Source organism: Homo sapiens, chromosome 5 (assembly GCF_000001405.40).
Source record: "Homo sapiens chromosome 5, GRCh38.p14 Primary Assembly".
Lineage (NCBI taxonomy): Eukaryota > Metazoa > Chordata > Mammalia > Primates > Hominidae > Homo > Homo sapiens.
The window spans coordinates 126,170,795-126,194,203 of NC_000005.10; the positions used below are offsets into that span (position 1 = coordinate 126,170,795).

The window sequence follows — 23,409 nt, forward strand, 5'->3', positions numbered from 1 at the left end:
AATAAATAGCCAGATGGCATCTTCTCTATAAATCTACTTCTTTTAATGAACTTCAGTTTAGTCCAAGGAATATATCCTGTTGATTCTACTTACTATAAAATATTACGCTCTAGCTCATAGTATTTCTTAACAGTTTTCTGCCCTAATATGTGGATTTTCTAAGAAAATGATGTGTGAGTTAATTTAATTTCCAACGTTAGTATTTGAATACTCACACAATTCACCTTTCCTGGTGCGATGTTACACCCCCTGAATCTCATAACTGTAAAAAATTACTTTCCATTACTCTCAAATAAAGTGATGTTAATTTAAGCAGATTTGAAAGGGAAGCACCAAATTGCCAAGGGAACACATTTGGGGTCACTTTGGGAAATAAGTGACTTCTTCCTTATTTATTATAGTATAATGGTATATTAAACCTTATAACTTATAACCATAAGTTATAAGTAAATCTTGCACCTATAAAAAGTAAAATGTCTTTGTAATGTATACAAAGCTTATTTATAGATTTTCAGCAATTTCTCTATTATACAGCAAAACAAGACGTACCCCCACTACTAATGTTTGAATGCCACTCTCCAAGTAGCATAGTGAGTTACAAACAATGGCCCAACAGTTTATGCATAGTTTTAAACTATTAAGTACAATCAGCTATATTTATTTGAAATTCTTAATAAAAAACCAAATATACAAAAGGTAATTTTCATTTTTAATTGCTCAGAAAAAGATTATACAACAAACTGGTAAAATCTGAATAAATTCTATAGTTTAATATATTGTACTAATGTTAATTTTTTAGTTTTGATCACTATACTATGACTACAAAAGATATTAACACTAAGGCAGGGCAGGGTCAAGATGGCCAACCAGATGCAGTGGTGATCGGAGGCTCCCATCCAAAAGAGCCAAAACAGCAGATGAATACTTCACTAGCAGCTGAGGTATCCAGGTTCTGTCATCAGGACTGACTAGGTGGTTGGCATGACCCATAGAGAGGAAGGAAGAGCAGTGTGGTGCAGCGGCCCACTTGGGAGCCACAATGGGCAGGGGAGCCCCCACCCACCAGCCAAAGGAGGTGATGAGTGAGCGTGCTACCCAGCCTGGGAAACCATGCTTTTTCCATGGAACTATGCAACCCAAAGATCGGAAGCTCCCACTCATGAGCCCACATCACCAGGGCCTGAGATCCCAACCATGGAGCCATGCAGATTCTCAACAGCCACTCAACTAGAATTATCTTAAGGCTGCCCAGTTCCTGGGGGGAGGGACAGCCATCACCACAGCTGTGGCTGCCTGCTGAGCCATCTGAATTCTTTGTGGGAGGGTGGCAACCAACACTGGGACTGCTAGCTGCCTAACACACTAAGCTCCCAGGGCAAGAGAAGGGCAGCAGCCATCTCTGTAGCTCCAGGCTATGCTTTTCCCCTGCTAGAGCCACAGAGGCAGACGGCTGGGTCCCTAGAGGTATTCCCCACAGCCCAACACACTGGCTTTGGCAGATTGCGGCCAGAGTGCCTCTTTAGGCCTGACCGTAACCCTTCCCTCCTCATTGAGTGGGGCCTCCCTGCAGGAACTCCAACAACTCCAGCCAGGGGCTCAAGGACAGAACTCTGATCTCCCTGGGACTGAGCCCCTAGGGGAGGGCTGGTTGTAGTCTCCATGGACCAGCAGACTTAGTCTTTCCTCCTGCTAATTCCGAGGAATCCGGGCAGCCCAGTCAAGTGGGTTTCCCCCAGTTGCAGCACACCCCCTCCACCAAGGGACAGCCAAAGTGTATTATTAAATGAGTTCTGCTCCCTGTGCCATCCAACCGGGTGAGACCTTCCAACAGGGGTTGTCAGACACCCTATACAGAAGCATGCCTACTGGTAACAGATTGGTGACCCTTGGAGTCAGAGATCCTAAAGGAAGGAGCAGACACTCATCTTTGCTGTTCTCCAGCCTCCTCAGGTGACATTTCCAGGTGTGTGAGTGAACCAGATGAATAGGGCCTGAAATAAACCCCAGCAAACAGCAGCCATGCAAAAGAGGGACCTGACTATTGAAAGAAAAACAAACAGCAATGACAACAGCATCACCAAAAAAAAAAAAAAAAAAAAAAAGTCCCCACAAAATCCTCATCCAAGGGTCAGTAGCCTCAAAGGTCGAAACTAGACAAACTCATGAAGATGAGAAAGAATCAACAAAAATACACTGCAAACCCAAAAGGCCAGAGTGCACCTTATCCTCCAAATGATCACAATGCCTCTCCAGCAAGGGCACAGAACCCTGGATGGAGGATGGGATGGATGAAATGACAGAAGTAGGCTTCACAAGTTAGATAATAACAAACTCCACTGAGATAAAGAGCATGTTCTAACCCAATGCAAAGAAGCTATGAACCTTGATAAAAGGTTACAGGAACTGCTAATTAGAATAACCAGCTTAGAGAGGAGCCTAAATGACCTGATAATGCTGAAAAACACAGCACAAGAACTTCGTGAAACATACACAAGTATCAATAGCTGAATTGATCAAGCAGAAGAAAGAATATCAGTTTGAATAACATCTTACTGATATAAGGCAGGAAGACAAGATAAGAGAAAAAAAGAATGAAAAGGAACAAATAAAACCTCTGACAAATACAGGACTATGTAAAAAGACCAAACCTACTATTGACTGGAGTACCTGAAAGAGAAGGAGAGAACGGAACCAAGTTGGAAAATGCACTTCAGGTTATTCACTCCAGGAGAAATTCTCCAACCCAGCAAGAGAGGCCAACGTTCAAATTCAAGAAATACAAAGAACATCACTAAGATACTCCATGAGAAGATCAACCCGAAGACACACAATCAACAGATTCTCCAAGGACAAAATGAAGGAAAAAATATTAAGGGCAGCCACAGAGAAAGTCCAGGTCACCTACAAAGGGAAGCCCATCAGACTAACAGCTGATCTCTCTGCAGAAACCCTCCAAGCCAGAAAAGACTGGGAGCCAATATTCAACATTCTTGAATTTTCAGCCCAGAATTTCATATCCAGCCAAACTAAGCTTCATAAGCAAAGGAGAAATAAAATCCTTTCCAGACAAGCAAATGCTGAGGGACTTCGTCACCACCAGGCCTGCTTTGCAAGAGCTCCTGAAGCAAGCACTAAATATGAAAAGGAAAAACTGGTACCAGCCCCTGCAAAAACACACCAAAATATAAAGACCAATGACACTATGAAGAAACTGCATCAACTAGTGGGCAAAATAGCCAGCTAGCATCACGATGACAGGATCAAATTCAATAACAATGTTAACCCAATAACAATGTAAATGGGCTAAATGCCCCAATTAAAAGACACAGACTGGCAAACTGGATAGAGTCAAGACCAATTGGTGGCTGTATTCAGAAGCCCCACCTCACATGCAAAGACACACATAGGCTTAAAATAAAAGGTATGGAGAAAAGTTTATCCTCAAATGGAAAGAAAAAAAAAACAGTAGTTGCAATCCTAGTTTCTGACAAAACAGACTTTAAACCAACAAAGCTCAAAAAAGACAAAGAAAGGCATGACATAATGGTAAAGGGATCAATTCAGCATGAAGAGCTAACTATCCTAAATATATATCCACCCAATACAAGAGCACCCAGATTCATAAAACCAGTTCTTAGAGACCTACAAAGACACTTAGAGACGCACACAATAATAGTGGAAGACTTTAACACCCCACTGTCAATATTAGATCAATGAGACAGAAAATTAACAAGGATATTCAGGACTTAAACTCAGCTCTGGATCAAGTGGACCTAATAGACATCTCAGAACTCTCCACCCCAAATCAACAGAATATACATTCTTCTCAGTGTCACATCGTACTTATTCTAAAATCAACCACATAATTGGAAGTAAAACACTTCTCAACAAATGCAAAAGAACTGAAATCATAAACAGTATCTCAGACCAGAGTGCAATCAAATTAGAACTCAGGATTAAAAAACTCACTCAAAACCACAAAACTACATGGAAATTGAACAACCTGTTCCTGAATGACTCCTGGGTAACAAAATTAAGGCAGAAATCAAGAAGTTCTTTGAAACCAATGAGAACAAAGAGACAGTGTACCAGAATCTCTGAGACACATCTAAAGCAATGTTAAGAGGGAAATTTATAGCACTAGAAAACTAGAAAGATCTCAAATCAACACCCTAACATCACAATAAAAGAACAAGAGAAGCAAGAGCAAACAAATCCAAAAGCTAGCAGAAGACAAGAAATAACTAAGATCAAAGCAGAACTGAAAGAGACAGACACACAAAAAACCCTTCAAAAAAACAAGGAATCCAGGAGCTGATTTTTTGAAATGATTAACAAAACTGATAGACTGCTAGCAAGGCTAATAAAGAAGAAAAGAGAAGAATCAAATAGACACAGTAAAAAATGATAAAGGATACTATAAACACCTCTACGCAAATAAACTAGAAAATCTAGAAGCAATGGATAAATTCCTGGACACATACACCCTCCAAAGATTAAACCAGGAAGAAGTTGAATCTTGGAATAGACCAATAACAAGTTCTGGAATTGAGGCAATAATTAATAGCCTACCAACCAAAAAAAGTCCAGGACCAGACAGATTCACAGCCGAATTCTACCAGAGGTACAAAGAGGAGCTGGTACCATTCCTTCTGAAACTATTCCAATCAACAGAAAAAGAAGGAATCCTCCCTAACTCATTTTATGAGGCCAGTATCACCCTGATACAAAAGCCTGACAGAGACACAACAAAAAGAGTTTTAGACCAATATCCCTGATGAACATCAATGTGAAAATCCTCAATAAAATACTGGCAAACAAAATACAGCAGCACGTCGAAAAGCTTATCCACCAAGATCAAGTCAGCTTCATCCCTGGGATACAAGGCTTGTTCAACCTATATGAATCAATAAACATAATCCATCACATGAACAGAACCAATGACAAAAACCACATGATCATCTCAATAGATGCAGAAAAGGCCTCAATAAAATGCAACATCCTTCATGTTAAAAACTCTCAATAAACTAGGTATTGATGGAACATATCTCAAAATAATAAGAGCTATTTATGACAAACCCACAGCCAATATCATACTGAATGGGCAAAAGCTGAAAGCATTCCCTTTGAAAACAGTCAAAAGGCAAGGATTCCCCCTCTCACCACTCCTATCCAACATAGCATTAGAAGTTCTGGCCAGGAAAACAGGCAAGAGAAAGAAATAAAGGGTATTCAAATAGGAAGAGAGGACATCTAATTGTCTCTGTTTGCAGATGATATGATTCTACATTTAGAAAACCCCATTTCTCAGCCCAAAATCTCCGTAAGCTGATAAGCAACTTCAGCAAAGTCTCAGGATACAAAATCAATGTGCAAAAATCACAAGCATTCCTATACACCAATAACAGACAAGCAAGGAGCCAAATCATAAGTGAATTCCCATTCACAATTGCTACAAGAAAATAAAACACCTAGGAAAACAGCTAACAAGACATGTGAATAACCTCTTCAAGGAAACATACAAATCACTACTCAAGGAAATAAGAGAGGACACAAACAAATGAAAAAACATTCCATCACCCATAGGAAGAATCAATACCGTGGAAATGGCCACAATGCCCAAAATGATTTACAGATTCAATGCTATTCCCAAACTACCATTGACATTCCTCACAGAATTAGAAGAAACCTTTAAACTTCATACGAAACAAAAAAAATTACTTGTATAGCCAAGATAAACCTAAGCAAAAAGAACAAAGCTGGAGGCATGATGTACCTGACCTCAAACTATACTACAAGGATACAGTAACCAAAACAGCATGGTGCTGGTACCAAAACAGACATATAGACCAGTGGAATAGAACAGAGACCTCAGAAATTACAACACACATCTACAACCATCTGATCTTCAAAAAACCTGACAAAAACAAGCAATGGGGAAAGGATTCCCTATTTAATAAATGGTGCTGGGAAAACTGGCTAGCCATATGCAGAAAATTAAAACTGAACCTCTCCCTTACACCTTATACAAAAATTAACTCAAGATGGCTTAAAGACTTAAATGTAAAACCCAAAACCATAAAAACCCTAGAAGAAAACTTAGGCAACACCATTCAGGACATAGGCATGGGCAAAGACTTCAGGATGAAAACACCAAGAACAACTGCAACAAAAGCTAAAATTGACAAATGAGATCTAACTAAAGAGCTTCTGCACAGTAAAAGAAACTATCAGAATGAACAGGCAACCTACAGAATGGGAGGACAATTTTACAATCTACCCCCTGACAAAGATCTAATATCCAGAACCTACAAGGAACTTAAACAAATTTGCAAGAAAAAATACACACAATCCCATCAAAAAGTGGGCAAAAGATATAAACAGACACTTCCCAAAAGAAGACATTTATTTTTGTGGCATATGAAAAAAAGCACATCACTGATTATTAGAGAAATGCAAGTCAAAACCACAATGAGATACCATCTCATGCCAGCCAGAATGATGATTATTAAAAGGTCAATAAACGATAGATGCTGGTGAGGCTGTGAAGAAATAGGAACACTTTTACACTGTTGGGAGTGTAAATTAGTTCAACCATTGTGAAAGACAGTGTGGCGATTCCTCAAGGATCTAGAACCAGAAATACCATTTGACCCAGTAATCGTGTTACTGCATATATACCCTAAGGAATATAAATCATTCTACAATAAAGACACATGAACACACATGTTTATTGCAGCACTATTTACAATAGCAAAGACTTGGAACCAACTCAAACGCCCATCCATGATCGACTGGATAAAGAAAATGTGGTACATATACACCACGGAATACTGTGCAGCCATAAAAAGGAATGAGATCATGTCCTTTGCAGGGACATGGATGAAGCTGGAAGCCGTCATCCTCAGCAAACTAACACAGGAACAGAAAACCAGACACCACATGTTCTCACTCATAAGTGGGAGTTGAACAATGAAAACACATGGACACTGGGAGGGGAATAACACACACTGGGGCCTGTGGGGGATTGGGGGATGAGGGGAAGGAGAGCATCAGGACAAACAGCTAATGCATGTGGGGCTTAAAACCTAGATGATGGGTTGATAGGTACAGCAAACCACCATGGCACACGTATACCTATCTAACAAACCTGCACGTTTTGCACATGTATCCTGGAGCTTAAAGTAAAACAAAAATAAAACACTAAGACAAGTTGGGCAAAGGGTATATAAGAACTGTACTATCTTTGCAACTCTTCTGTAAGTCTAAAATTCTTTCAAGACAAAAAGTCAGAAAAGAAAACCCTCTCTTATCAAACATACACTTTTCTCTTCTGTGTGTGTGGTGTGAAAAGAGGCCAATGCAAGTAGCCAGAGTGAAGTATATTGTTGGACACAAGTAAATCTTACCAGCTCAAAAACTTATAGAAAATATATCACTATTGATATGGCACTAATTCTTAGATTAAAAATTTCTAACAAGGTTAATATTTAGTGGCCAGCATTGTGTTTACACATTTCTAAACAGCATCAAATAGTACAAGCTACTGGAAACCAGTAGGAAAGAATATCTAATTTGACTTTGAAGCTAAATAGCTATGTGAGCTCACATAATAGAAATGAAGGAATTACAGGAAAACTTAAACATCCCTTTTATCCCCCCAAATTATTTCAATGAGTTTGAGTGACTTTTTATAATCCGATTACTCAAATCAACCCAGAAATCTAAACTGTTGAATATGAGAGAAATGCTGGTTCAAACAAGATTAAGAAAAAAAAAATATTGATTCACTTAATTGAGAAGGCCAGAAAGAATGCTAGCTCCATACAGGATTGGATTCAGAGGCCCAATGATGTCATCAGAAATTGGTTTCTCTCCAGCTCTTGGCTCTGTTTTCCACTGAGTTGGCCTCTTTCTCTGGCTTCACATCATGGCCCCTGACAGCTCCAGGATCATAATCTCTTATGATTAGCTCCAACTGGACTATCTTGGCTGCCACATATAACCCTGAATCACTGTGGCCAAGGAGATAGACTCTAGTCTGATTAGCCAGACCTGAGGCCCATTCTTAGCCCTGACTGAATTGTGGCTTTCACCCCCAGTGTAAAATTTCTGTTATTTTCAGGTGAGTGCATTTCAACTAATACAGATTTTGATACCATGAAATAAAGCAGTGTAGAAAACCGACTGGTTTAGTCAAAAGATAAAGGATACAGAACAGAGAAGATCCTATTATTTCTTTCTAGTAAGTTGGTAATCTTTTTACACTATATTGAGTATATCCATTAAACTATGGCCTTCTTTATGTTGAAACTCTGTCAATATGCCAACCAAGGCTATAGCATTAGAGACTTGGTAAGAAACATGTTTAGAGTGTTTTTAATACTTCTTAAGGCCATCAACAAAATCTTATAAGAGACAAACGGGTTGAATGTGGCCCACTGTAAGCACCTAAAAAAGTAAAAGTAGCTTGAAAGGATTCTTTTCTGTAGTCCAAAATTATGAAATTCTTTAGGTTACAGAAATGAATTACCTACTTTAATAAATACTAATGCTGGTACAGGTTGGAAAGTAGCTAGTTTGGAACAATATAAGATTAAGCCACAAGAAAGACATGAGACTTAGTTCCAATTAAGGATTCTCTGCCTGAGAAAGGATACAACATATTGATGTCCACTAGCCCAAGGTTATTGCTTCAGATCTCTTCCAGGGGCAGACCAAATGTAGATAGAAGCCATTCAACTAAAATTCTAGAAAACAGTGATTTGTTGCTTAGGAGACCAAAACCAAACTCAAAGACCATGACCACACTAATATCCGCTGGTGTGGTTATTATGCAATGAAAACTACAAATACATATGGACCAAAAGCCTACTAAAACTTGAAGAAAATAATAAATTAAAGAAATTCCAAGCTTTACCATAAACAGCTGTAACTTAAATCTTAAATCCCTTGGACACACTTTACAGGAGGTAAGCTACTATATCTGTGTAGCGCCAGAAAGGGCATCCTATCTCATGTCCATCTCATATAAAAATTGATGGATATGAGTAATCTCCCCAGGAGACAGGACATGGGGTAATAGAGGAAGATTGACAAGTGAATTTATTCCAAAGAGCAGAACTGGATGCTGCTATAATGTAACACAAGTAGTCACTGCACTGCCAGGTCAGAAAGTCCTCATTATTTCCAGCCAGCAGGCTATGGTTTATGCCATGTTCCAGTGAACCATGTGTGCTACTGCCCTTTTCCACAATTTTCACTGTGCTTATCTTGTTATTTCTCTACTACTTTATATTAAATATGTTAAGGGAAGATAACAGTATCTTAGCCTTAATACAATTAGAAGCTACAACTATATAAGAGAAAGAGCAACTCAACCAAAAATCTGGAATTATAGCAGTGAAGACTTTGAACCATCTCATTTGGGGAAAACTGAAGGTATTTCATGCTGGTGTGAGCATTGTAAGGGTGTGTATCTAGTTGGGAAGAAGCTAAGTTTGGATGTGAAGTCATTAAAGGGGTAAAATATATTAAACATTTGTTTAAATCCTCAACACCTATCCCAAACTTTCCCCGCTATATAATAGCACTAGAGTTTGAATATTGACTTCCATTTGAAGAAGAGTTCCTGAATTGCCCTACTCAGTAAGGATAATCTCTTCTCTCCAGCTGGTAATTAGTTCAAAACTGAGGATCAAGACAATGATTCATTCAAGGATAAATTATCTGTATTACAATGAAGTACTTATATTTAATGTTTGATGCAAAGGTGCTTTCTCTATCACTGGACATGAACAGGAAGTCAATGGGATGAAGCCAGAGCAGAAGATGACTGAGCAGAAATTAACAAAGTACATCAGTCCCAGCATGTCCTTGAGGAGTACCTGGAACAACTAATCTCGGGAGTCTGTGCTTCCTCTAGAGTACCAGTCATGTAAGATTTAAAATGTTATTATATTTATTTTTTTTAAGAGACAGGGTCTTGCTATGTTGCTCAGGCTGAACACAAATTTTTAAATGTTATTTTTTAAGTCAGGTTTTCTCTTACTTGCAGCCAAAAACACCCTGACTGATAGGCTATCTATATGCTAATGACACTCTGTATCAGTTGAAAATTGCAGTCAGCTGCAAGAAACAGAAATCTGAATAAGGGCTGCTTAAACACATTAGGGGTTTGGCTTTTCTCCAGAAAGATGACATTTGGAGGTACATAGTCCAGAGCTGACACACTGACTATATTCTAGGCTTCCTCTATCATTTTGTTCATCCTTCTTTAGCATGTGTTTTTTACATTATCACAAGTTAGATACATCAGTAATTTAATCAAGAAGAAAACAGCAAAAGATCAATGAGTCTTCTCCCCTTTTTTAGTTTTAGTTCTCAGAATTACCTCACAATTACTATATACATTTTATTGACAGAACTGTGTCATGTGACCATCCAATGTGCAAGGGAAATGCAGATTTTATAGCTGAACCTATTTATACTACCGAAACAAACAGAATTGTATTCATAAGGTAGAAGGGAAGAATGATATTAGGTAGGCAAACTAGCCATCTCTGCCACATCCCCCAATTTATGTTTCCAGCTCAGATCTCCCCTTTGATCTCTTGACCTATATATCAAACTTACCTTTTAAACTCTGCATGCTTGTGGATTATAAACACCTCAAACTGAATATGAAAAAATAAAGCTACTGATCTCCACATCCAATCTGCCCCTCTGTGATAGTTAATTTTGTGTACCAACTTGACTGGGCCACAGTATACCCAGATATTTGGTCCACCATTATTCTGGATGTGTCTGGTGAGAGTGGTTTTGGATGAGAATAACTTTTGAATCTGTAGACTGAGTGAAGCAAGTTGCCCTCCATAATGTGAGTGGGGTTCACCAATCACTTGAAGATTTAAAAGAATAAAAGGGCTTATTAAGAGGGAATTCCTCCTGCCTAACTGCTGAACTGGGACATCAGTCATCTCCTGCCCTCAGATTAGAACATATACCATTGGCTCTCCTAGCTCTCCAGCTTAATAAGTGAATATTTTGAACTTCTCAGCTTTCTAGTCATGTGAATCAATTCCTTATTTTATATATCTAAACTGTTGCATGAAATATATATATATAATTTTCCATTTCTCTGGAGAACTTATTTGTCCTGTTTTTCTAGAGAACCCTAATATACCTTCCTAAAGTCATTCCTATCTCAGTAAATACTACTACCACTTAGCCATTGAATGGCCCTACCATTTACCCAAGTGTGCCTATAGAAACCTAGTAATAATTCATTCAACTGTTATTCACCCCTTTCTGTGCATTGAATTTATCACCACATTGAGTCAGTGCTTCCTTCCAGTGTATTTTAAATTCACTTCTCTCCAACTCCAATGCCATCACCTTGGTGAAGTCACCGTTTTCCATTTAGACTCCGGAAATGTCTTCTAACAGATTCCACTGCTTCTTCTCTTAGTCCCTTCCAGTGAAATTTCCAGGTAGCTTTTAGAGTAATCTCTTAAATCTATTAATCAGATGACACTGTCCTGATCAACATTTTTCAATGGCTTACCATTGCATTTTATTTTACCATGAGCTACAGGGTTGCATAAAGTGGTTCCTCTGTCTCTCTCCAACCTTATTTCATTCTCCTTCTTGCTTACTGCATTTCAGCCACACCAGTTTTTTTTCTTTTCTTCCAATATACCAAGCCCTTTGTAATATCTACCTCTAGCTTTTTCATGTGGCTGGATTATTCTTTTTAGATCTTCTCTGGCTTTGCCCATCTTCTCCAGTCAATCATTCATTATTTAATTATATGGTCCTTCATAACAGTTACTCACAATCTATCATCCAAATTTGTGATTATTTTTCATTTAACATTGTCTCACTCCCCAACTATAATATGCACTCCACCAGGACAAGAAACTAGTCTTTGAAGTTAGTTGATATGGCTAAGTCCTAGCACAATGCTAGCACTTAATCAAAGCCCAGAAAGTTTACTGAGTGAATTTATTCATTCATTCAACAAATATTTATTAAGGTCTTAGAAGGAACTGTTCCATGCACTAGGGATGCATTAGTGAATTAAAGGGCCAGAGTACTGCTTTTATGGAGTTTACCCTTTAAGAAGAAAGACAGAGATTAAACAAGTAAGTGGTATGTCAGAAGGAGAAGCTTTTTTAATGAAAAGAGCCCTCTGGACATTTATTCAGACTATTTTCTCTTTCTCTGGACTTAGACAAAGTCTGGATGCTAAGAGAATACTAGAGGGTTTGGCACATACCATGCCTTCCAAATGAGCCCTTGGAGCTTGCAAATGCCGTCATGCATCCTGGGCAACTGAGTGAAGTGTCAGTTATCCTGACATCTATACAAGAGGCTAATATTGTCTATGGACCACTGGGGGCTAAATGCTTGTTGACTGAGATAATGATCAGATAGACAAACATACAACAGTCAAACTGAAGATTCACAATCTTGACTATGCCAAGGCCAAAAAAAGTCAACAAGATGGAATATGATGTACTGATCACAAATGCCAAAATGCTGAACCAAAAGGAAGCTGGAGTTGTATTGAGAAGAGAAAAATGGAATAAATAGGATACCAGATTAGATTACTGCCTGTCAGCCAAGCTTATGTAGGACTGGCTGCCAGTTGTGGAAACATGAAGGACAAATGGCATGCCATCCCAAACCGCCACCCGAGCTTCTTGCCAAGGCTGCCTGCGCATACACAGCTGGGCCTCCCTTGGCAAACTGGTTGATGTTCTCTCTCCATTTATTAACAATTGCTTCATTGTTGTTGATACTAAGTACCGAATAATTCTAACATTTTTTTATAGCTGATGAAATTAATTGCCAAATTCAGACTCTGGGGGTTATTTTGCCAATAATTTCTTGCCCAGATTTGAGATGATATTCATTTTCAGTGTGACTGTATGTTCACAAGCTCTGGTGATGTCTTTGAGTCATGCATTTCAGCCTCAGTGCTACATGCTTTGAGAGTCTACTTGACACAATGAGCGGAAGCCAAATGTACATGGAGGGAAGTCTAAGCAAATGTTTCAACTGAACAACAACAATAACAACAATGTTTTAAAAACTAATATTTACTGAAATAGGTACTTTTCTAAGCATTTTATTATGCATTATTTTCCTCAGTCCAATGGAACTGTTAAATAGGTAAAATTAGTTTCTCTCTTTTACAAAAACAGGAAATAGGCAAAGAGGAAACATATCTGAAGTGTGGACCCGTTGTTTTGGAGGAGGTAGAAAAGCAAAGTGGTGGTAGGAAGGAAAGTACCAGGATAGCAAATAACAAATTAATTACTTAGGTTTTATTCAACACATTTTACCAGTATGGGGTTCAAATTGACCATAAATGAATTGTCAGTCCCTTTCTTTAAGAAATCATGGAAAATGTTTTGCTGTGCCTCATAACCAGCACTTCTTGTTACTCCATATAAACATTTATAAGGGTAGATTATTTCATCATCACTGCAACACTCACCAGAAGCTAGTCAGGAATACACTGACAAGCCAATCTACACGGAAACTGTGCATTGCCCCATCGTGTCTATGAGACTATAGGATGCTGGGAATGTATTCTACTCATTTTTCTATCCCCAACACTTTACATGGGCCTGACACATAGAAAGCAATTACTAAATGCTTTTTGAGTGAACAAGTCCACAATTCTATTAGCTCTCACAAATAAAAGAGGATATGCACTTATTAAGAGTACAAACCCTACAATTGGGGCAGAATGGCAAATAGATTTCATCTCATCAGCCAACACCAAGAGAAAGGTAGTGGCTGCCTATACTGATGTGCTGAGTAGGATTTTGACACTGCATCAGGTCTTTGTATAGAAAAGATCCTTCGACATGTTTGATTAATGTCTTTCAAGTGTTTAAGAACAAAGACATGGAAATATACATGTCATGTCATTGAAGCTGTTAAGATTTTCCAGATAACTAAAAGAAGTCAGAATATATGATTTAATCAGTGATTTCTCCATAATATGAACAATTAAAATTGTCAGGTATGCAAGTATTATAATTCTTTTTTGACATTTGCTCTAAGGATTGAAACATGGAACAATGTTGTAAAAATTACAAACACAAATGCACTTAAGTGCCTCCTCTCATTAAAATCAACCTAATTTAGCTGCATCAGAGAGTCCTAGATTAATGAGAACACACAAAAATCGGGACTATTATTTTTATATTCAAATTTTCTTAGCAAATCCTTAGGTGTATGTAATTTCAGTTAATCTCACAAGTCCAAAGTCCACATCAAATGTTGTCTTGCAGTCTGCTTTAAGTCCCTGTCTTCTGCATCCAATAAGAGGTAGAGAAAGCTTCATTGTAGCTACACAATTGTCTTTACGGAAGTCAGGAAAAAGATGGCCTTGGATCTTTTTGTCATACTGGAATGAGGGCAAATATATTCACTGAAATTTATTTTGGCTTTATTTTTCTTTATAGAAAGTTTGAAGTATAATTTCAACTTGATAGTTTTGCACAAATATCACTCCTTAATTTTGATTCATTCTATTTTCTGCAGAAGTTTGTTCATAACCTACAATGTGCTAGGTTGGGGATACAAGTAGAACGTGTTCCTTATCCTTAAGCTTAGTCTACTACAAACTAATCAAAGAAAAAGTACATACACACACATTTTTAAAGCCTCTTTTCTTCTTTTCCCATATATTCTTAGATATAGCACCAAAACCTATAAAAGAGTAAATTGACTTTACCAAAATTAAAAACTTTGGCTCTTCAACAGACACTGTTAAGAGAACTAAAAACAAGCCACAAACTGAGAAAAAAAACTTGCAAAGCATATATCTGAAAAAGGACTTGATTCTAGAATATATAAACAATACTCAAAACTCAATAAGTAAACAAACTGTCCATTTTTTAAATGGCAACATATTTGAGCAGACACTTTAGTAAAGGTAACAAATGGATAGCAAAAAAAGTATGTGAGAAGATGTTCAACATTATCAATAACTAAGAAAAAGCCAAATAAAAGCACTATGAGATACTGCTATAAATCTATTAGAATGTCTAAGATTAAAGATGGACCATGCCAAGTGTTGATGAGTACGTAGAGAAACTGAAACACTCATACATTGATAGGAAAGTAAAATGGTACAAACACTTTGGAAAATAATTTGGCAGTTTCTTAAAAAGCTAAACATTAAATATAACACCTAAAGTACAAGCAAAGAAAAAAATAGATAAATTAGATTTCATCAAAATGAAAAACCTTTGTGTTTCAAAGGCTATAATCAAGACAGTGAAAAGACCACCTATAGACTGGGAGGAAACTTTTGAAAACCACATATCTGATAAGGATCTAGTGTACACAATATATTAAGAACTCTTCCAATTCAACAATAAAAAGACCAAGAGCCCAATTTAAAAACGGGCAAATAATTTGAATAGCCATTTCTTCAAAGAGATATACAAATGGCCAATAAGCCCATGAAAAGATATTCAACATCATTAGTCATTAGGGAAATGCAAACCAAAACTGCAGTGTTGCTATTTCACATTGACAAGGATGGCTGTAATAAAGAGAAACAGATAGTAACAAGTTCTGGTGAGAATGTGGAGAAACAGAAACCCCACACACTACTGGTCATGATATAAAACAGTGCAGCTACTTTGTAGAACAGTCTGACAGCTCCTCAAGAGGTCAAACACATTAATAAAAAAGTTATCATATGTCTTAGTCCATTCTGTATTGCTATAACAGAATACCTGAGATTGGGTAATTTATAAAGAAAAAAGGTTAATTTGCCTCATGATTCTGGTGGCTGGAAAATCCAAGATTGGGCAGCTGCATCTGGTGATGGCCTCCGGCTGCTTCAACTCATAGCAGAAAGTGGAAGGGGAGCTGCATGTGCAAAGAGCTCACATAGCTAGAGAGGAAGCAAGAGAGTAAAACCAAAGAAGACAGGCTCTTCCAACAGTCTGCTCTCTCCAATTGTTAATCCATTCCCATGAGAGTGAGAATTCACTCACTACCAAGCCATTCATGAGAGACCCACCCCAACAACTCAAACACCTCCCACTAGGCCCCACCTCCCAACACCACACAGCAGGGAGTACATTTCGACATGAGTTCTTGTGGGGACAAACAAATCATATCCAAACCACAGCACCATATGAGCCCACAATTCTACTTCTATCCGCACCTAAGAATTGAAAACATATTCACACAAAAACTTTTACATGAGTTTCCATAGCAGCATTACTCATAATAACTAAGAAGTGGAAACATAAATATCCATCAATTAAGGAATAAATAAACAAAATATGGTGTATCCTTATAATGTATCCATCCTTATAATGGAGTATTATTCAGCCTTAAAAGGAATGAAATACTGATACATGCTACAACATGAATAAACCTTGAAAACACTATGCTAAGTGAAAAAAGTCAGACACAAAAGACTACATATTAGACGATTCCATTTATCTGAACTGTCTCGAATAGGCAATTCTGTAGGGACACAAAGTAGATTAGTGGTTCCAGAGGCTGGAGGGAGGGGGAAATTTGGAAGTGACTGCTAATGGGTACAGAAGTTTTTTTGTGGAGGAGAGTTATAAAAATATTCTGGAATTAGTGATGATTGTTATAAAACCTTGTGAATATAAAAAAACTGAATTATACACTTTAAAAGGAAGAATCTTATGGCATATGAATTTATCTCAACTAAAACAAATTAACCATATCCTATACTGGCCAACCATTCCACTATCAGGTATTTACACAGAGATGAAAACATATGTCCACACAAAAACATGTATACCAATGTTTATAGCAGCTACATCTGCAATTGTGAAAAAATAATCCAAATGTCCATCAACCAGATAAAGATTATCGTTATGTGGTGTACACATGCAATGGAATACTATTCAGTAATAAAACTTTATAAACAATTGATGTTATGAACCACATGGATAAATCTCAAAATACATATGCTGCATGAAAGAAACCAAACCAAAAAAAGAGCAACAAAAATGCATACTGCACAATTTCATTTATATACAATTCTAGGAAATGCCAACTAATGTATAGTAACAGAAAGCAGACCACGGTTGCCTGTGAATATAAGAAGGGTTGCAAAGCGCATGATGAAATTTCCAAAAATGATGAATCTGTTCATTATCTTGGTTGTAGTGGTGGTTTCACAAGTATAATTGAAATAGCCAAGTAAAAAGTAGTCCCTAGAGAATCTCCCACCAGCCTGCGCTCTGGGAGGTTGGGGTGTAGCCTTGGGAAGTTCGCATCGTTTGCAACAGGGAGGAGCCTGGCCTCTCCAGTTCCTGGGGGGTGACTAGAATTCAGTCTGTGAGGTGGAGAGTCTATCAGCAGGACTCCATCTCACTTTTTTGAGTTGTTTCTCCTTTTTCCTTTTTGCCCAATAAATTCTGTCCCCCCTCACCCTTCAAAGTGTCTGTGAGCCTAATCTTTCCTGGTCCTGTGACAAGAACTCGTTTTTTTCTACAACATAATCATATATCAAAACATCAAATTGTGCACTTAAAATATGTGCAATGTATAGTATGTCTACTATACTTCAATAAAGCTGTTTTTAAAACATAAGCAATCTGCCACAAAATGTTTTCTGTGCTATGCTATTCCACTTCCCTTTGATTTTTGGAGGACTCGAAAGGCATACTCCTGTTCTAATGTGGCTGGCACCTAGTGACTCACCAGTGTTTCTTCAGTGGCAGAAACACTGAAGGCACAGCAACTCCATACCAAACTTCACCCTGCAGAGGTGTAGAAGAGACTGATGGCACCAGTAACAGTACTGATGCTAACCTCATTTGTCCAGAGGTGCTTTGCTGGGACTGTCTGGTTAGTCTGCTTTGCTCCCTGCTTCCTTTGGACTGTAGGGGTGTGGCTTCATTGATTCTCATCATCCTCTCGGTTCCCAATTCATCCCAAACCCAGAAAATGTCATGAACCTCAATGACATGTAAGTTTCTTCACAAGATATGTGGAAAGTTAAAATTTCGGACTCGTAAAATCATCATCTTCTAATGTCACCACACTATATAGCTCCCTTGATTGCCACTGAATGTGTAAAAAGAAAAATCAAGAAATCTACATTGCATACCAATTTGTAGTATGTTTCCAAAATGACACATGCTGTGTCACTCTGACACTGAATGAGCCACAGAGAGGGGCTTGCACAACTGTAGGTTTGCTGAGTCAGGGGCTTCTGAACAGGGGCTTTTGAAGTGTTCTGGGCCCTGCCTGTACACACTACAGGGATTAGGGGCATGCTTAGTTTGGAGACATTTTACAGTGACAAAATATTACTTGTTTAAGGCCTGTTCACTACTGGTCTGCTTTTTTTCCTAAGCAATACAGCTTAACTAGCCTGAAAGTCAATGCTTGAAGCCCAGAGGAGAATGAGAGCTGCCCAAAAACGCTGAAATAAGGAAAGATTCTTCCTAAGGAGCTGATAAAAGAATGTAGCCCTCCTCCACTCCCCTCAACAAAGAAAAGCTCATGAAAAGGTTACTTTCCTTGTGATTAACAGTCTTCACAATTAAAATTTTTAAGTGGCTGATTGAAGGATAATATAGCAGATTTCATTCAGCCTCGCATACCTCAAGGGAAACTCAGCTTTCCTTTATTACTTTTACTGCACGTGCACGTTTTCCCTTGGAAATAAAAATTAAACCTTTGTACCATTGCTTCGAATAGCACTTTCTCTTCATGCTAATAATGGTTTTCATGAAACAGCTGTACCAAATTAAAATGTTCCTTTTTTAAAATTTCATAGAGTTCAAGAAACTGATGTAAAATATGAATATGTATCAGGATAAATAAACATCCATTGCTAACCATTCATCTTCTAAGTACCACGGAGTGCTTCCCTCACCTCACCTACCTATTTCTTGACCTTTTGGGTGATTACTGTTATCAAAAAAATTCACAAATATATAAGGGATAGAGATTATGAAAATCTCAAAAGGTAATTTAAAACTTTCTCTTTTTTTACACTCTGACGCTTCCTTAAAGTGATATGGATAATCAGAAATTAAGTTGTATTTGCTGAAATCTTCAACTTTTAATTTTTTGACGATCTTATTTTTATAGACTTTGAGACAAAAAAAAAAGACAGGACCGAGAGGAGGATTTAAAGACTGTGTGGGAGGCGTGGTCAGAGCAACAATAACAATGACCAGTCTTTGTTAGATGCCTACTGCTCCTCAGGCAGTAATCCCATTGAATACACCTCCTCAAACACAGGTAATTGGTGTTTTTGTCCTCACCATTAAACAGATGCCAAAGCTGGGATTAAGCAAGGTCAAGCTACCTGCTCACAGCCTTACTACCTGTATGTGACAGAATTAAGAACCACAACCGGGTCTTTGCAAGAAAAGTACATGCTCTTTTATAAGTGAGAAAAAAAATACAGAATATTAAATTGAAGCATTCCTTGTAATTTTCACTTGTAATATAGGAAGTACACTTGATTTATCCTTGTGAGATCAACTTTTAAAAACCATACCTCTTTGAGGAATATTTTTGTCCTCCAATTGCCTCTAAGTTCTACCAATCGTTAAAAACTTCAGCTGAATTAAATTTAAAGGAGTTTAATTGAGCAATGAATGATTTGCAAATCAGACAGCCCCCAGAGTCACAGCAGATTCAGAGAGACTCCAGAGCAGCCACATGGTGGAAGACGATTTATAGACGAAAAAAAGGGAAATGATGTACAGAAATCGGAACTGAGGTATAGAAACAGCTGGATTGGTTACAGGTTTGTGTTTGCCTTATTTGAACAGTTAGAACACTCAGCAGTCTATGAGTGGTTGAAGTATAGCTGCTGGGATTGGCCAAGACTCAGCCATTGTTACAATGTATTACTCCTGAGTTAGGTTTTCAATTTTGTCTGCCAGTTAAGCTAGGTTACAGTTCATCCACAAGGAGTCAACAGAAGTATGGAGTCCTTCTCAGGCCATATTCAGTTTGCTTTGACACAATCAACTAGATTCTCCTTTCCCAGATTGTCAAAACTGCTGATGAGGAGCCTGCTTGTTGCTTTCCTCACCCTTCTGCCCAGTGTTTCCTTGGGGCTGTGAAAACACCACTTGGAATATTGAGATTTTGAACAAGAGTATATGCAGCTCTGAGAAGACCTCAGCAGGAAGGAAAAAAAAAAAAAGCTACAACACTCCACTTAATATATAAAACATCTTCTGTAAAGTTCTGGAACTCCCAACTCATCCTTTTGGGTGAACTTTCTTGTCCACCTACACACATTGAATTTTATGTCCTCACTCCATAATATGTTCATTTATTACACAGGCCCACATGTGATGAAGACAGGATTCTAAGGTTTGGCACTTCTTCAAATTGGATTAGTTGGAGGATGTTTCAAAGGTAATGACTAACTTTCTGAAGTAAAACCCACTTACCTAAAAGAAAAAAAAGCATACCTGCATACACATGCACATACACTGACAAATCCCCCAATTTGTGGGCACATATCCTGATATTATGATGAAGACAAAAAGCTAAAAAGATTAGAAATTTAAAAGCTAGGCCAGGCACAGTGGCTCATGCCTGTAATCCCAGCACTTTGGGAGGCCGAGGTTGGTGGATCACCTGAGGTCAGGAGTTCGAGACCAGCCTGACCAACATGGTGAAACCCCATCTCTACTAAAAATACAAAAATTAGCTGGGTGTGGTGGTGCACACCTGTAATCCCAGCTACTAGGGATGCTGAGGCAGGAGAATCACTTGAACCAGGAAGGTAGGGGTTGCGGTGAGCCAAGAACGCACCACTACACCCTAGCCTGGGTGATAGAGCAAGACTTCGTCTCAAAAAAAAAAAGAAAAGAAAAGAAAAAAAGAAAGAAAGAATACAACTAATATATAGTAACCATCATCCTGACACTCTGCCAGATACTTTATATATATTAATTCATTTAATCCTCACCAAATCCAATGAGATAGTTCCTATTACTTTTCCTATTTTATTGATTAGGAAACAGAAACATGGAGAGATGAAGCAGCTTGCCCAAAACTGTGCGTGTAGTAAATATAGAAACCAAATGCAAACCTAAGGAGTCTAGCTCCAGAGTACAATGTTTTTTGTTGTTTCTATAATTTTCTTCCTTTTCTCACTCATTAGAACCAATATACTCTAGATATAGTGATTGCAGCCAATTTTTACAATAATTAACAAGTTTAATGAAGTGGCCTGCAATATCCTAAATTTTGCCTACCTCCAGTTTAACTTTCAATTATAGCACTACATACTGGAATGGAATATTGACAGAATTAAGGCTTCCTTCCCAAACTGTAAGTGGTGTTAAAGGCAAGAAGATATAAAACTCTGTCTCCATTACATCTTTGTCCACTCAGATTTGATCCTAGCCTTTGAAAAAGTTACACACCTACCGAACCCAGATATAAAAGGTGGTGATAAAAACTTCTGCTGTGAATTATTGGAAAACACTATTTCTGAGAAAGTATTACTTTACTTTAGGGATTAAAGAGCTTGCTCACTTCAGTACATCTGTGTTTCAGTCCACCTTAGAAAGATGACACATAAGTTGAGCACTTATTTGCTCTAGACAAGCTGAATTCTTTCCGAGTAAGTATTGTGCACAGGCCCTCACTGGAGATCATCTTGACGTCCTGAGCAAAAAAACAAATTACTCCTTTGTGCTCCAAAAAAGAAACTTTTTATCAAACTTGAGAACACACCAGGCAATGTGGTCTTCTGCTATATTTCCTTGACTCAGGATTTGCCCCTGGGAAACTACGGCTTCAAAATATCCCATTTGTAATGTTTCGCTTGCCTATGATATTTGCTTCCTTAAAAAGCTTCCAATCTGAAAAGACTCATTTCCAATGAGACTGTGTCTTGGTATTCTCACTATAATTCAATAAATATTTTGAGTACCCACTACATGCAAAGTATTACATTAGGCACTAGCGTAAGTAACAAGGATATAACAATAAATCAAACACAACTTGTATGTTGAATTCCAAAGTTACATAATACAGGATAAGGGCAAAGATTACATTAAATATTATATTAAAATTCCTTTTAGTTCGAACATTTTATTAATGTTTATAGATAAGGAACTAGTTTATATAGAAAGGGGGAGAAAAAGTTGACATTAGAGTGTGCTAGATGCCTATCATGTTGCTAGTCACTGTACTGGAGTTATTTCACTGATCCCTAAACAACCACCGTGAACTAATTCTTGTTATTGCCATTTTACAGTTGGAAAGTTATGTGTGTTACCCTTGGCACTGGATGATTGCAACAGTAAGGTAGGAGGTATAGGACTTTTAACATTTTACACATTTTGAAGATTCTTTGGAATTCCTAAGTGAGATAATATGCACCAATGCCTTAACATGATACCTACCAAGACTCAACGCTCCACCAGGAGTTAGTGGTAGTGTCAATAGTGGTAGCAGATGCAGCAAAAGTAGATTAAGCCAGCATCTGAGCTCTCAACTGCACAAAAAGCCACCATCACAAATGTTCTGACCAACCACTCCAACCCCACCTCAACTTCCTTTTCTAAACAAATCCTAATGGCAGCATTTCCCTGTGCTTTTTATATGTGAGATTGCTAGTGACATTCCATCCGAGCCCTCAGTAACTCCACTTAGCCACTGCCACGTGCCTTTTCCTCATTTGTTCCTTTGTTCATTTTCATGTCATTTGCATAAACAATTCTCATTCTTTCCTTCTCTTCACTTCATCTCCTTCCAATTCACCTGATAACTTCTGTCAGTGGCAACTGGGATATTTCTCCAGAGCTTCTACAACAACAAATTGAGAGTTTCACAAGCACCTGGGGCCCAGCAGACGTTGGGAAGCCTATTCTGGGACTCGCCTCCATCTAAATGATTTGAAAATTCAGCTCCTGAACACAGCCAGATTGCTGTCAGCAATTCGAATAAGTTTTAACAACACTGGATCCACCTCAAGGTTATTTCTTCAATATCATACAGAAAATATTGTAAATGAAGGAAATATGATGCAAAGTGGTAGTATTCTAGTAATCTAGTCTATTTTTATGAAGTCTCCCTGCTATCTTGACTGATGGAGAAAAAATTTTCATAACAAAGTCTATTTCTTGTACATCTGAAATATTCCCTACAAAAATAACCCCTCTTTCCTGGGATGCTAAACATAAGACCTTATACTTATATAATAATTCACCTAAAGGAAATTCCTTCCTGCTTTGGCCTTCACATTCTATCCAAGGTCTGTATCCAACCAGATAGTATTATCTATTCAAATGTAACCTGGACCTCTGATGAGCACTAACTTTTACTTCCGTGGATAAGCAGGGGGTTTAGATCTACAAAGTCAATATATAAAGCAGCATTCAG

General features: G+C 37.9%; 2 long non-coding RNA genes across 2 annotated transcripts in view, besides 1 other annotated feature; one reads left to right on the forward strand and one right to left on the reverse strand.

Moving 5' to 3' along the window:
* Window positions 1-23,409, reverse strand: part of LOC124901056 (uncharacterized) — an 891,204-nt gene that overhangs the window by 691,700 nt on the left and 176,095 nt on the right. The gene's annotated exons all lie outside the window — the stretch shown is intronic.
* Window positions 8,783-23,056, forward strand: LINC02039 (long intergenic non-protein coding RNA 2039). Its single transcript, NR_105042.1, has 4 exons — window positions 8,783-8,972; window positions 20,350-20,424; window positions 22,283-22,332; window positions 22,806-23,056. It is a non-coding gene; the product is annotated as a long intergenic non-protein coding RNA 2039 (long non-coding RNA).
* Window positions 18,794-19,393: an enhancer, noted in NCBI's record as "OCT4-NANOG hESC enhancer chr5:125525281-125525880 (GRCh37/hg19 assembly coordinates)". NCBI's record gives its function as "activates a minimal SCP1, AML or CMV promoter by ChIP-STARR-seq in naive H9 embryonic stem cells {active_cell/tissue: H9 hESC(naive)}" and the evidence as "EXISTENCE:reporter gene assay evidence [ECO:0000049][PMID:30033119]".